Raw genomic sequence first — 15186 nt, 5'->3', positions numbered from 1 at the left:
CAGAAGGTCTAGAGTGGACTTATTTTAGGTTTTTCTGGCAGTGCTCATTAGCTCTAGTTTCCATAGTTAAATTGCTACTGAAGCTGTAAATACAGTACTCTGAAAGCCCACACTCATGCACAGGTATGCTTCTACATAAAACTGCCTTGGTAAATGAATAAACTATTTCACGAGAAAATGGTTAAAAAGTTGGAAATCTATAGTAAAATGTTATTAATGTAAATAATCTTCATGTTTTAATTTTCTCTTACTTCTGGAATTTAAAGTTTTTCAGTGATGAGCAATATAGTAATACCATAGGCTCCTAAACACTGAACTAAAATCCTTGTATTTTTATATTTTGAAACTATGCTTCCATATCTTCAAGTGGATTTAATTCATTGTACAAGTCACATAGACTTGGGAATGAAGAAAAGTAGAGAACTGGGGCCAGATGCAGTGGCTCACACCAATCATCCCAGCACTCTGCGGGCTGAGGCAGGAGGACTGCTTGAGGCCTGAAGTTTAAGAACAGCCTGGGCAGTATAACAAGGCCCTATCTCTACCAAAAAAAAAAAAATTAATAAATAAAAAATTAGCAGGGCATGGTGGTGTGAGTGCTGTCCCAGCTACTCAGGAGACTGAGAAGGGAGGACTACTTAAGCCCAGGAGTTGGAGGCTGCAGTGAGCTACGATCATGCTGTTGCAGTCCACCTTGGGAAACAGAGCAAGACTCATCTCTTAAAAAAAAAAAAAAAAAGTGGAGAACTTCATCTGCTAATCTAATCTAATTGGACTGGTAAATATTAAAATGTTTGATAACATACAAGTGTTGTCAAGGGTGAGATTAGGGTGAACTGATATAATTGTTGGCTGAAGCATATGACAGTATAACCTTTTGGGAGAGCAATCTAATAATAGCTACAAAATTTAACATGCTGCAATGAAGCAAGTCTATATCTTACAGTTTATTCTAGAATATTTACATATGTGTGCAAAGGTTATACACAAGATTATGCACAATAGCATTGTTAGTAATAGAAAAAGATGGAATTAATTTAAATTTTTCAGTAGAGAACTATTACAATAAATTATGGCACATCTATATAATCAAATCCTATGCAGTTGTTAACAAAAATGAAGTAGTACATCTATATAAATGTACATAAATTGAGGTCTAAGATGTATTAAATAGATAAAGCAAGGTGTGAAATGTTCCCATGTATATTACTTACATGGCAATATTTGGGTGGAATACCCAGGACACTATAATTTCAAGGAACGGAGGCTGAGGATCCGAAAAAGCAACCTAATTTTCTTTACACACCGTTTTGTATTTTATGTATTTATACCAAACATGTAAATAATTTTCTCAATAGACACCTTCAGACATTCTTTATTTACCATAAGATATAGTCTTAAAAATGTAACTGAGATAATCATTTCTAGAATTTCTTGATCACAGGTTATTTTTCTCTCTTACATGTAATGTTAGGAATAATTCTGTCTTAAACAGTACTTTAATGACTCATGGGTGACATAAGTATCTCATAAGACATATTTTACTTAGCTTTTATTAAAAATTGTCTACTATCTGGATACTCAGGCACTAAACTCTAGGCAAATTTCCAGAAGATTATATTGTATTGATGTAAGTAAATGACTGGTAAGAAGTTGGCAGGTACTTCACAGCCAAGAGCCAACAGGGAAATCAATGGCTGAGTTGAGAGAACACAGGACCAAAATGATTAAATGGCATAATTTAAGTAAACTAATATATTACATTTTTAATAGCAATATGCTACAACTATATAAACTGATCTAACAAATACTGTACAACTGAAGATGTTTTTAACCACTCCCTGTATATTGATTTATATTTTAAAGACAAAACTTTTTGACTGGAATGGAGAAATGCTGATCATGTGAAATAAGGATTTTTACAGTGCTGCAACTTTGATCCTTATTGTGCATGAATTTATCAAGGATTCCTTCATGTTGAGAAATTTGAAAATCCATTAAAAGAAAAAATCTCCATAAATGTGAGTTTTACTTTACTACTTGAAACTGCAATAATCTAAAAAGGGATGTAATTCCTATTTTACTGTTTATTGCTATTAAACAAAACATGTGAGAAAACTTTAGAGCATAGTTACAAAAAAAATGGGTTTTGGAATCACACAGAATTCAAGTCCTGGTTATCAGATTAACTATGGAATAGTGGGAAAACTACCCCATCCTTGTGAGCCTCATTTCCTCATGTATAAAAGGGAGATAACATGAAGTATATTTAGTATCTTCTGAGGTTGTTGTATTAAGCTAAAAAAAAAAAACATAATGCACTTTGCATAATGTATGACCAACAGTAAGAGTTAAATAAAAGGCAGCTCTCACTACTAATATTATTACTCTTTAATTATCCAGCATAGATGAGGAATAAAATGTTCTATATAACGTTTTCCTTTACTAGACAAATTCTTACGTACATGCCAAATTTTAAGCATCACCACTTTGTATTTTACTCACTCTTGGGGAAAATTCTTCCAAAATACTTTTTTTGTTACCTTAGGGGTCAATAAATAGAAACTAACCTTTTTGGTGCCTGGTACTAATAACTCTGTCTAGATTAACATATTTATTTTATAGTCCCAGTATGGTGATTTCAGGTCATATTACATTTGGAATACTGTATTTAGGTCGGGGCATGATTCAGGAGAAAATGAATGCCAGACTAGAAGGTGCATAAAAAGAATAATCAGAACAGTGAGGTGTGTGAAAACCCTAACATATAAAACCAGGTTAAGGAATGATGTCCATTTAGTTTGGAGAATATTTGAGATGAAAAAATAGGTATTTTCAAATATTTTAAGGGTGTCACGTGAAAAACTACGTAAATTTATATTATATCAGAGGACAAAAGTAGGAACAATAGATATGTTACAGATACATGAATTAAATATTAATATGGCTGCTTTGATTATATAACTGACAAGGTTTATTTCAATTCCAAGATTCTGTGACCTATATATACTAAAAAAGAAGGAAGGCAATTATGGTTATATACTTAAATTAGGACTCTTGCCACTTTAAAGATGAACTAAAATATGATTTACTACTTTGTTACTTTTGTTTCAATAAAAAGATAATGATAAAATGATATGATATATACGATGGACTTGGTATTTCAATTTCCCAAATTGATCCCTGTAATAATCCCACTTTAAATACTGAGGTTCTCCAAAAAAATCAATTCACATTAATTTTAGTCTTTTTAAAAAAATGGAGCACAATGAACTATGAACATTTTTAAGTTATAAGAGCTACATGTTCAGATATATTTGCCTAATTTATTTCAAGTTCAGCTCAACATTAGAATTTAAAATAGAACTTAAGTCAATTCCTCTCTAATTTATCTTAACTTCTGTCGTGTTAGTGATTTAAATAATTTTGGAATGGGAATTGGATAAAATGATTATGCACAACAGAAAACAATGATAGAGGAGAGCAAAGCATGTATTTTGTACTAACCAATTAGAAGAACTGTTCCAACGGCTAAACCTCCACCTGGAAATGAAACAAAACCAGAAGAAAATTAATTTACCTTTTCCATTACCTTTAGCATAAAAGTTAGGCTTTATGAAGGAAAGGCACTTCAATAACTTTAAAACAGTAGTTGTGAACAACATTTTAATTACCTTTGCAATACTTTGCTCAAGGTGCTATTATGAAATAATTACATATTATATGTAATTACATACTACACATTACAATTACTTTTTTTTTTTTTTTTGAGATGGAGTCTTGCTCTGTTGATCACGCTGGAGTGCAGTGGCACAATCTCCTCTCAGCTCACTGCAACCTCCCCATCCTGGGTTCAAGCAATTCTCCTGCCTCAGCCTCCTGAGTAGCTGGGATTACAGGTGCCCACTACCACGCCTGGCTAATTTTTGTATTTTTAGCAGAGATGGAGTTTTACCATGTTGGTCAGGCTGGTCTCGAACTCCTGACCTCACGTGATCCACCTGCCTTGGGCTCCCAAAGTGCTGGGATTACAGGCGTGAGCCAGTGAGCCACCAGGCCCGGCCTAAAATTACTACCATAATATACTGTACTATCCTCCTTTCTTCTATGATAGAACCACACAGCATTCAACCTAACTGTGGTTAAGGACTCCAATAATGTTATATTTAGCACTTGTTAATAAATTAACTCAATACTCAAGACTTAAATGTGTACAGTAACTTAACTACTACAGAAGTACAACAAAGATTATTATAGAAATTCCACATTAATATTTATCTTCAAATTTAGTAAGACTGAGTAAAGATCTGATAATTAAAGTTAATTCTTTTTTATTATGAATAATATACACAAAGTCTGGACATGCTCTAAATATATTTACAATTTAAAAGGAATGTATTTGCCATTTCAAACAAAAAAAGAATATCATCACAAAATACATTTTCGGTATTACTAGACTAGTGTTCTTTTAAATATCTGAATTAGGCCGGGCACAGTGGCTCAGGCCTGTAATCTTAGCACTTTGGGAGGCTGAAGTGGGCGGATCACTTGAGGTCAGGAGTTCAAAACCAGCCTGGACAACATGGTGAAACCCTGTCTGTACTAAAAATACAAAAAAAATAATCTGCATGTGGTGGTGCATGCCTATAATCCCAGCTACTCAGGAGGCTGAGAAACGGGAATTTTTTTTTTTTTTTTTTTTTGAGACAGAGTCTCACTCTGTCACCCAGGCTAGAGTGCATTGGCACAATCTCGGCTCACTGCAACCTCTGCCTCCCGGGTTCAAGTGATTCTCCTGCCTCAGCCTCCCAAGTAGCTGGGATTACAGGCACCCACCACTACACCCAGCTAATTTTTTGTACTTTTAGTAGAGACGGGGTTTCACTATGTTGCCAAGGCTGGTCTCGAACTCCTGACCTCGTGATTCACCTGCCTGGACTTCCCAAAGTGGTGAGATTACAGGTGTGAGCCACCGTGCCCAGCCTGAGACACGAGAATTTTTTGAACCTGGAAGGCAAGATTGCCGTGAGTTGAGATTGCACCACTGCACTCCAGCCTGGCCAACAGAGTGAGACTCTGTTTCAGAAAAAAAAAAAAAAAAAAATCTGAACTATGGTAATATAATCATGAAATATGTGAAATATATAATTCAAATGGTGAATCATTAAAAATCAATTTAAAAATTAATTTTATGGCTAGGTGCAGTTGCACACGCCTGTAATCCCAGCACTTTGGGAGGCTGAGGCGGGCGGATCACCTGAAGTCAGGAGTTCGAGACCAGCCTGACCAACATAGTGAAACGCCGTCTCTACTAAAAATACAAAAGTGGATGGGCGTGGTGGCCCATGCCTGTAATCCCAGCTACGCAGGAGGCTGAGGCAGGAGAATCGCTTGAACCAGGAAGGTGGAGGTCGCACTGAGCCGAGATTGCACCATTGCACTCCAGCCTGGGCAACAAGAGCGAAACTCTGTCTCAAAAAAAAAAAAAAGAAAAAAAAGAATTAAAGAAATTAGCACTACACTAAGACATTTGAGTACTTATACTTTGCTCTTCACTCCATTTGTAAAACTATTGCCATTTTGATTAATGTCTCAAACACAAATTCACTTAAAATTTTAAAAAATGAGTATCAAAGAGTAGAAATGTATTTAAAGTATAATTTTTAAAATACTCAAAGTTGGGCCGGGTGCGGTGGCTCACGACTGTAATCCCAGCACTTTGGGAGGCCAATACGGGTGGATCATGAGGTCAGGAGCTCGAGACCAGCCTGGCCAACATAGTGAAATCCAGTCTCTACTAAAAATACAAAAAAAATTAGCTGGGCGCGGTGGCTGCCGCCTGTAGTCCCAGCTACTTGGGAGGCTGAGGCAGGAGAATTGCTTGAACCCAGGAGGGGGAGGTTGCAGGGAGCTGAGATCGCGCCACTGCACTCCAGCCTAGGTGACAGAGTGAGACTCCATTAAAAAAAAAAATTACTCAAAGTTGTTGGACAACTGGAGTCAATGTTAATTGTTTGTTTTTTGTATACAAATCTGAAAGAAATATTTAGAACACTAATAAAGAACTTTCCACAAAAAAGTTTTGTAGTCACATTTGTCATACAGAAAAACTTAGTAACAAAAGTTCCTTTGATAGGTTGGGCACGGTGGCTCACACCTGCAATCCCAGCACTTTGGAAGGCCGAGGCAGGCAGATCACATAAGCTCAGGTGTTCGAGACCATCCTGGCCAACAAGGTGAAACCCTGTTAGCCAGATGTGGTGGCCCGCTCCTGTAATCCCAGCTATTCGGGGGAGCTGAGGCAGGAGAATCACTTGAACCCAGGAGTCATAGGTTGCAGTGAGTTGAGATCATGCCACTGCACTCCAACCTGGGCCACATAGCAAGACTCTGTCTCAAAAAAAAAAAAAGTTCCTTTGATAGTGTTTATTTTTTGCCTTGCAAAAAAGCATAACTATTATGTGTTAAACAGTTTGAAATCTGGTAACATACATGCGCCTAGAATAATATGCAACATGAGACTTGTGCTAAGCGATTTACAGTGAGGCTAAACATCAATTTCATGACAATATGTAGAACATTTCAAACTCTTAGGGAAGGAAATAATGAAAAAACCTAGTATATTTAAATGTTTTAATGTTTAAGTTTATATATTTACAAGACTTTATATTTTAAGTTCACATTCAGACAGGTTCCTTCATATAGCATTTAAAGTCGCAACAGACTACATAGGATAACTTTTATCTTCAGATGAAAAGATAAACATAAGCTGAAATGTACATCATGATAGCCATCAAAAAGGATCAGGTCCGGGTGCAGTGGCTCACGGCTATAATCCCAGCATTTTGGAAGGCCAAGGTGAGCAGATCACTTCAGCTCAAGAGTTTGAGACAAGCCTGGACAAAATGGCAAAACTCCATCTCTACAAAAAATACAAAAATTAGCAAGGCGTGCTGCCACCTGTAGTCCCAGCTACTTGGGGAGCTGTGGAAGGAGGATCAATTGAGCATGGGAAGTTATGGCTGCAGTGAGCAGCGTTCGCACCACTGCACTCCAGCCAGGGTAACAATGTGAGACCCAGTCTCAAACAAACAAATGGATCAGAACAAAGGGTTTGCTTTGGGATAAGATTAGACTAAATGTTTAATTTCATAGTGCCACACTAATGTTATAATTCATTTGAACATCTTATATCACACTTCCTTACTTTCCTACTTTCCCTTAAATGCAGAAATAAACATTTAATTACCCAATAGCCTTTTTCTGTACATATAAGGAGATGAATTGATATAAGCATACAAGAGACATTATGGTGTCTAAGCTAGAGCAGGCACTATTAAAAAGTTTCTTACTTTAACCTATTTCCTATAGGGAGGATTTAGGTTTCTTATCTAACCTCCTGAGTTACACTTACATCTCCTCAAATAAGGAATTTATATAAGGCCTCCACTGGGACAGACAGAGAAGCAAAGATTTTTTATTTTTTGAGACCGAGTCTTGCTATGTCCTCCAGGCTGGAGTGCAGTGGTGCAATCTCAGCTCACTGCAAGCTCCGCCTCCTGGTTTCACCCCCCATTCTCCTGCCTCTGCCTCCCAAGTAACTGGGACTACAGGCACCTCCCACTACACCCGGCAAATTTTTTTGTATTTTTAGTAGCGACGGGGTTTCACCGTGTTAGCCAGGATGGTCTCAATCTCCTGACCTCGTGATCCGCCCGCCTCGGCCTCCCAATGTGCTGGGATTACAGGCGTGAGCCACTGCGCCCAGCCAGAAGTAAAGATTTTTTAACATTCACTATGGGACAATGAGAACAGATCACATAACAGTTTTCCAATTACATGAAGTGATTACCAAGTAGAGGTATCTGGCCCAGAAAGGTACTCAGAAAGAGCTACCTTTACCATTTTGGCAATTCCTTTTTTTTGTGGGGGGTGGGGACAGGGTGTCGCTGTGTTGCTCAGACTGGAGTGCAGTGGTGCAATCATGGTTCACTGCAGCTCGAACCTCCCAGGCTCAAGGGTCCTCCCATCTCAGCCTCTGAAATAGTTGGGATTATAGGAACATGTAACCATGACTGGCTAATTCTTTTTCTTTTTTAATTCTTTGATTCTTTGTAGAGATGGGGTCTCACTATATTGCCCAGGCTGGTTTTGAACTCCTGGGCTCAAACTAGCCTCCAGCCTTGGCCTCCCAAAGTGTTGAGATTACAGGCATGAGTGACCACATAACCTAAAAAATCTTATGTGTATTAAAATTCTAATGTTTAGAAAATTTGAACATTAAGACATAATGGGGACATATTAAAATCATTTTTATCACCAAATATCTTCTCAAACTTCTTTTACAAAAAGGTAAGAAGGTTCTATCATGTAAATTCACTAGATTCACATTTAGATTGGCTGTAGTAAAGTTTGGTCACTGTGAAGGATAGTTGTGGGGAATAAGATGTAACTCATTAACTAATTTAAACTTATTAACTAAAGCTTTTAAAAATCAAGCTTTTACTCTATGTGTTTTAAGAGGAATAATTTGGACCTATACATATATATATATATATATATATACACACACACACACACACACACACACACACACATGCATACAGCAGCAAAATTTCTCTATTCTTCTAAACTTGAGTTTAGTGAGACATGATCTCAAAACATTTCCACAAGATACCTTTGTATAAGGTATTTTGATGTCTCTTACTTGATAAATGGAAGGTCTAGCTGTATTTTAACTTAAAAGTTTGAATGTTTGTAGCCATGCTCCAACCAAAAAATAAATAAATAAAAAGCTAAAACAACCAACCAATCACAACAGAGTATCCTGACATATTCTTTGAAGGCTGGCTTTTAATTTACTTTTAAATTTAGTAATCCATTAGTAATTTTATCTAATTCCAAAAGCAACATAGACCTCACACTAATAGTTACCAATTAAAACTGAAATATCTTTTCCCAATACAATGTATTACAGATAAGTAATAGGGTAAGCAAACAATCATCTTATTTTTATAATGAAAACAGGCAAGAAAGTAGTAAAACGGCCTTGTTTACTATTTCCTCTCCCCTTTCATCCTAACTTAGAAAAATTACCAACACACTTTCTAAGTCACTAAGCAAAATAAATTCTTCTTTTTTTGAGATGGGGTCTCACTGTCACCCAGGCTGGAGTATAGTGGTGTGATCACTGCTCACTGCAGACTTGAACTCCCCAGGCTCAGGGCTTCTCCCCCATCAGCCTCCTGAGTAGCTGGGACTACAGGTGTGCACCACCAAGCTTGGGTGATTTTTGTATTTTCTGAAGAGCCAGGGTCTCTCTATGTTGCCCAGGCTTGTCTCAAACTCCCAGGCTCAAGCAATCCACCCATCTTGGCTTCCCAAAGTGCTGGGATTATAAGTGTGAGCTACCACACCTGGCCAGCAAATAAACTCTTGTTTTTACTTCTAGATGTCTTTAAGATGTATACTTATTTCCATCTTACTAAAAATAAAAGTAGAGTACTTTATGTACACAAAAGAATACAAGAGGTTGAAAGGTTAAAGAATCATGACTACTCTTCAATAATTATGACACAATTATTGGCTGGGCAAACATGAGAATCAAAATAAAGGTTTGAAAGGTTAAAGATACTCAGCAAGCTTGATATTTTAGACAATTAATTTCATCAAGATTTCACATATTTTAAAAATAGGCATTTTTTCTTAAAACCAGAAAAGATATTTAATACTTAAGAAATAATATTAGAAAATTTAAGATCTTGCAAATGCCAGTATCTTCCACGATTTTCAAAATCATAAGACAACGAAAGGGCTTTTGTTGTTATTTCAATTCATGCAGTAGTAAGACAATTACATTAGTACTATTAATATTTTAAAGGAACAACATTCAATCCCCATACTCTCCCCAATAGAAACCTCTGACTAAGCTATACATTTTGGGTAAATGAGGTCAAATTAATACACTAGAATATGAAAGCCTTTCTTCAATGTTAGAGAAAGTAAAAGGGAAAAGAAATGAAAGTCAAGAAAGATAACAGTGATTTATGCCAGTCCTTTCCAGACCTCTATATAAAGGAATAATTTTGCTTAAAATTACAAAAAAGTATTTCTGGGAAAATGCAATGTAAAAAACAAGTTCATATTCTTTCCTTGGTTCATAGTAATAGCCTTAACTACTTAATTAATGCTGGATCTCAAATTTAATTGCAGTTATTTTGATAACAACTCTACTTTTTCTTCCCCAAGCATTATAAAACATAGTGACTACTCTTCATTATGACACAATTATTAGCTGGACAAACATGAGAATCAAAATAAAGCTAGGAACTGTGAATAGTTCTATAGATTAAGTCACATGAAATAATTTTACATAGCAATAAAAAATACATTTTTCTTAAATATACAGCTAATTATATTGGTTGGTAAAATATCATAACCAAGATTGTGTTAAATATGTAGTCCAAGCTCAATGTATATTATCCCATGCTACACATTAACATAATAAAGGAAATAAGCCCACTAGTGTTTACTTTTTGACATCAATGTTAAAAAATGGCTGTTACCATTAAGCTTCTTTCAGGGTACTCTTCCTAGACTATTATTTACCTCAAATCCCTATCTGACATTCCCTTCACTATCAAAATTTAACAGCACAGAGGTCAAATCTGCAGTTACCCTTCCTTTAAGCATTTTTCTGGAGGATGAAGTTGTGGTTAATTCTTCCAGGTTAGATATATGGTTCTATGATGGAGTATATACCTTTTACAGGGAATGGGGTTGGGTGGGCGGGGCGGGGGAGGGGGGGCGGAGGGCAGGGGGCATTTCTGCCAGAATTCTTTAGTTGCTATAATCTTTCTTTGGAAACCCCTGGAAGAGAAATGGAGTACCTCTTCAATCGATGGAATATCTATCTTTCCTTTTCCAAAATATAAGTGTTATTTACATACAGTGTCCTCAAATAACAATATAAATATCCCAGAAGGGCAAGGTTGAGAACATGGGTTAGATAATCTGGGAATTTAAACAATTTTAATGTAGCTAACTTGGGAAATGTATATCAATATCTCATAATACAATTAGGTTGTCAGAACAAAAACATTATATATTAGGTCATTTGAAAAATGCAGATATTGAAAATTTTCAAATTCATGAAATGCTTTGGAATAAGTAATGGAATTATCAGTGTATCATCAAATGACTAACAATTAGCATGTATGATGCCTTTCAAATATATTTTGCATCCATGTTTAAAATTACAATGACGTCACGGTGGCAGTAGTAAAATGTCACCGTACTACACGGAAGCTATAATATTTACTTGTTACACAGTAACCACATAATATATTCAGGCAATAATCACAATATTACAGTATAGTTTTACCGTTCTAACACCATAACATCCTATTATCATTACCTTTTGTCACAATATAGTCATATTAGGCTTGTCGCAACTTGAGTCAAATAACATTTTCAAGTAATAACATAGTCTAAACTGCTTATACAGAAAATCAGATACAAAAATGTCATTAAGAGGTTAAAACTAAAATACTTCTGGACATATTTATTTTTCAAGATGTAGTCAATTCTATTATAACCTCTTCAACTTTTGTGCACTTTGAGAATTCACTGCATACATGCAAAATATATTTCAAAGTATTCAACAACCAATACTGTTTCTACCATCTTAATGAACAGTAATTTTTAGCATAAGCTTGTTACACTTAAATACCCTACTCGAGTCTCCCATTCCAAGCAAATACGGAAACTTTAAAAATTACTGTTCAAGTTTGTATCTCTGAAGAAACACGTATAGAAGGTGCTTTGGGTTCTCTTTTTGGTGGGTACTTTAAGAGACGATAGTTAAATCATTAATCCGAGGTTCAATAAATGGTCAAAACCCCTGGAAAGAATACGTAAAAATTTCAGACAGCGGTAGCCTAGTGCAAAGAGCACTAAATTTGAAGCCTAACAATCAGTACACATGGTCACTGGTTTTGTGAGACTGTTCATATCACTTAATTTGTTTTTAGAGCTCAAACATGAAACTCCATTCTACATGTTTCATAATTTCTTGTCTCAGTTTTTTTCTACACATTATTTTTCTTGTATTCAACAACTTACTGAGAATCTACTAAGTGCCAGGAGGTACACTAGGAACATTTTGTTATTCTAATGAGGAACTGAAGACATTATAATAGAAACATAACCTTTTTGTTTGGAAAGTTTTAGTATCAAGTAAATGAAGTTACATATCCCATTGAATTAAAAAATATATAAGGCCTAGAAATAGCTACCAAACTTAAAGTTCAAATGTAAGAGGATATCAACTGAGGCTCACAAGGGAAAAACGGTGGACTATATATTTGCTAACTAGATATTTTGAATCACTTCTATTTACAGTACCATGCAACTCAGGAGGAAAATATATTTGAAACAATTAAGTGAAAAATACTTAAACTTATCTAGAAATAACCGGAAAATGAAATGAGAGAATCAAGAAGCCATACTCTTTCTCATAGGTTGCTGGTCTTCTTACTTTCTCTGCACTAAACCTATGAAAAGCCTACTTTGAGGGGAAAATAACCGAAAGAAATGTCAAACGAAGTACAAGAACAAGCAATGAGTTATATTTTATGAAAGTGTACAAGATTTAACAGACACATATCACACACTATGAAAAAAGTTATGTAAACACAGACGGGGTTTTAATGAAACAGCATTCAGAAATTAATCTAGAAGCTTTATTAACACAGCAAATCTGTCCTACCAACTTAATCTGGTCATTCCTTTGAATATAACAGTTATGAAACAAGCATATTCTTCAGCAGGCTTCTCATAAAAAATTCCAGAGATTTTAAAGGAAAGCCTAAGAACTAGACTTTTCTCGTTAAAATGTGAGTTAAATTTAAAGATGTCGTATGGAATGTAGCAGCAATCAATACTGGGAAGCAAAATGTATATAGAAAAAATAAAAAATATATACACAGATTTAACGCAGACACTATCTAAATATCAACGACAGGCTCAAAATACTTTATAAGGATTATGTGTCAACATAAGCCTTTAACATTCGCTCTCTTAAAGCCAAAATGTTTTAAGATTTAGAACCAGAGAACAGGCAGTCTGACGGTCAAAGAGGGGAAATCATTTTTTTCCAGCATCTTCTAATGAAGTCTGTCTCTCACAATTATAAAAACTTTTGCAGGCTGGTCTAAACCGTGAGCTGCCTGGAGAAAGCAGAAGGGAGGTATCCTGAATGAAAGCCAAACCATCTCCATAAATTAATGTCTTCCCTTGACTAGAAAGCATTTCAGGGTAAAAAGCATGTACGAATTCCTCCGTAATATGAAAAGGGGTTGGAGGGCAGGGAATGAAATAGAGAGCGAGGGCACTAAAACATGTTTAGTTAACAGCGCTCAGAAGTCTCCACACAACCCGTATTCCCCTCCATCTCAATCAGACCAGGCTATTCTCTCCTCCTCCGAAGGTTTAGGGGTCAGAAAGAGATGTGGGGTCAAAGTGGCTTCCCCGACAGGTCCCCTCCCTAAGTTTCCCCTCGGCTGAGCCCAGATCTCCGCTCTGAACCGACCTAAGAGCTGGTCTAGGGCTGGGAGCCCGGTTGATACCAGCAGCTGTCCATTCCGCACCGACGGTCGCGTGCCCGCAATGGACACCAGTCGAGGGCCGCTGTCGTTGGTCACGCTGGCTCTAGGACCCCTCCTCTGGAAACTGGTGACGTTGCTCTTGCTGGCTGTCGCCACTGCAGACCCAGTACTCGCGGCAACACTACCGCAGGTTGCCACTGCCGCCATCTTAGAGCCTCCAGTGTTAACCCAATAGGAACTCTGGGAACGCAAACACCCGTCCTATCAGAACCAGTGCCAAACTCCCGCCTCCTCGCCCCAACCGCGGCTCTCGTAACCAATAGGACTGAGACGTCAGTCCCGAGCCAACCAATCGGAAGGCGTATTGCTGAAAAGTGCGCCCTACGAAAGGACGGTCGACTTCGGCGGGGCCCAGGTGAGAAAGGCCCACCTGTGTCCTGGTTGAGGGTCTCCAGGGTTCTTTGGGGCCCGAGGTAGGTAATATCACGTAACGTTCTTCTCCTTTTGAGTGCCTTCATTCACATTGAGTTAAAGAAAAGGTTGGTGAAACAATAAACCCTTAGGGCTTATCAAGCAATTGCTAGCACCTTTCTCCGCTGTGTGTGAGGATAGACTTTTTTCCTGCTCATTTATCTTCTGATTTCTGATAGAAAATTCACTCCGCCTTCCCCACGATGTCTTTTTCTTAATTTTGTGTTATATGGAAAGGATGGGATCTCTTACCTTAATGAGTTGGTTGCTGAGCGTCTGGGCTTAGTTCGTTAGTGCCTAGTGGTAGGTGGTTTGGAATTAAACCTTAGAGCGAAAACTCTTGAACTTTGAGGCTATCTGGTTTTCCTGTGTCTGACAAACTATAGCTCTCTGACAAGTTCCGATAAGAAGCTTTTGTTAATTTTAATTAGTGTTTCTGGAAGTCTTGGATGTCTTTCCTAAGCGGTGTAAATGACAAGTGTTACTCTGACAACCTTGTTCACACATTTAATTGTCGTTTGCTGTTAAAGCAGCTGCAAATAACAGAAAATACTTAGGGTTTCTTTCCCCCAAAAAACTGCTAGGAAGAATTAGAAGTATACCTACTTTATTTTATGAACCCTGAATCGAGAGTTTATTACTAAAATACCAATTTTATGTGTGGAAAAAACATGTATTTTGAGTTGTATTTTTGTATTTAATTTTTTTTTCAAAACTGAGCAGGGACAGTGGGTAACTGATGTTTAAAGGCAATCATGATTGACAAATGTCTAAATTGAAAAGGACTCCCAAATCATTACCGCACTACTGAGTTATTGACTTTGACAGTGATCTGTGATACCTTTTAATTAGAGCCAAACCTCATTGAAATTCTTGCCATCGAATTGTTTTAAATCTCACTGACCTGTTGAAATTTTTGGGCTGATTCTGTTTGATAAATTGAAATTAGTATTGCTAAATAGTGACTGGAGTTTTTCATTTGGGGAGGATTTTTGTTTGTTTGCTTGTTTTTTAGAATCATGTTTAGGAAAAAACCCTGTTTCACAATATATCAACTGGAAAGCTTTGATCAAGGTTGCTTTCATATTGAATCTTTAAGTTACTCAAT

General features: G+C 36.7%; 2 protein-coding genes across 16 annotated transcripts in view, besides 2 other annotated features; one reads left to right on the top strand and one right to left on the bottom strand.

Moving 5' to 3' along the window:
- Positions 1-13832, bottom strand: part of ELP4 (elongator acetyltransferase complex subunit 4) — a 280558-nt gene extending 266726 nt beyond the window's left edge. For all 3 annotated transcript variants that reach the window (NM_001288725.2, NM_001288726.2, NM_019040.5), the window contains exons 1-2: positions 13592-13832; positions 3508-3543 (exon numbers count right to left, since the gene is read on the bottom strand). In NM_001288725.2, coding sequence (NP_001275654.1) covers positions 3508-3543; positions 13592-13814 — 259 coding nt within the window. In that variant the 5' untranslated portion in view covers positions 13815-13832. The remainder of the gene's footprint in view (positions 1-3507; positions 3544-13591) is intronic.
- Positions 12950-13839: an enhancer, noted in NCBI's record as "H3K27ac hESC enhancer chr11:31531307-31532196 (GRCh37/hg19 assembly coordinates)". NCBI's record gives its function as "activates a minimal SCP1, AML or CMV promoter by ChIP-STARR-seq in primed H9 embryonic stem cells {active_cell/tissue: H9 hESC(primed)}" and the evidence as "EXISTENCE:reporter gene assay evidence [ECO:0000049][PMID:30033119]".
- Positions 13528-13817: an enhancer, noted in NCBI's record as "active region_4557". NCBI's record gives its function as "activates an Ori minimal core promoter by ATAC-STARR-seq in GM12878 lymphoblastoid cells {active_cell/tissue: GM12878}" and the evidence as "EXISTENCE:reporter gene assay evidence [ECO:0000049][PMID:35858748]".
- IMMP1L (inner mitochondrial membrane peptidase subunit 1) overlaps positions 13977-15186 on the top strand; it is a 77222-nt gene continuing 76012 nt past the window's right edge. For 12 of the 13 annotated variants that reach the window (XR_242781.4, NM_001304274.2, XM_011519947.3 and 9 more), the window contains exon 1: positions 13977-14080. The gene's annotated coding sequence lies outside the window, so the exon portion shown is untranslated. The remainder of the gene's footprint in view (positions 14081-15186) is intronic. The other variant, XM_047426521.1, reaches the window with a different exon arrangement.

This window comes from Homo sapiens, chromosome 11 (assembly GCF_000001405.40).
Source record: "Homo sapiens chromosome 11, GRCh38.p14 Primary Assembly".
NCBI classification, from domain to species: Eukaryota; Metazoa; Chordata; class Mammalia; order Primates; family Hominidae; genus Homo; species Homo sapiens.
The sequence above is the reverse complement of the archived record's forward strand: the minus strand, read 5'-3'. Positions and strand labels throughout refer to the sequence as shown.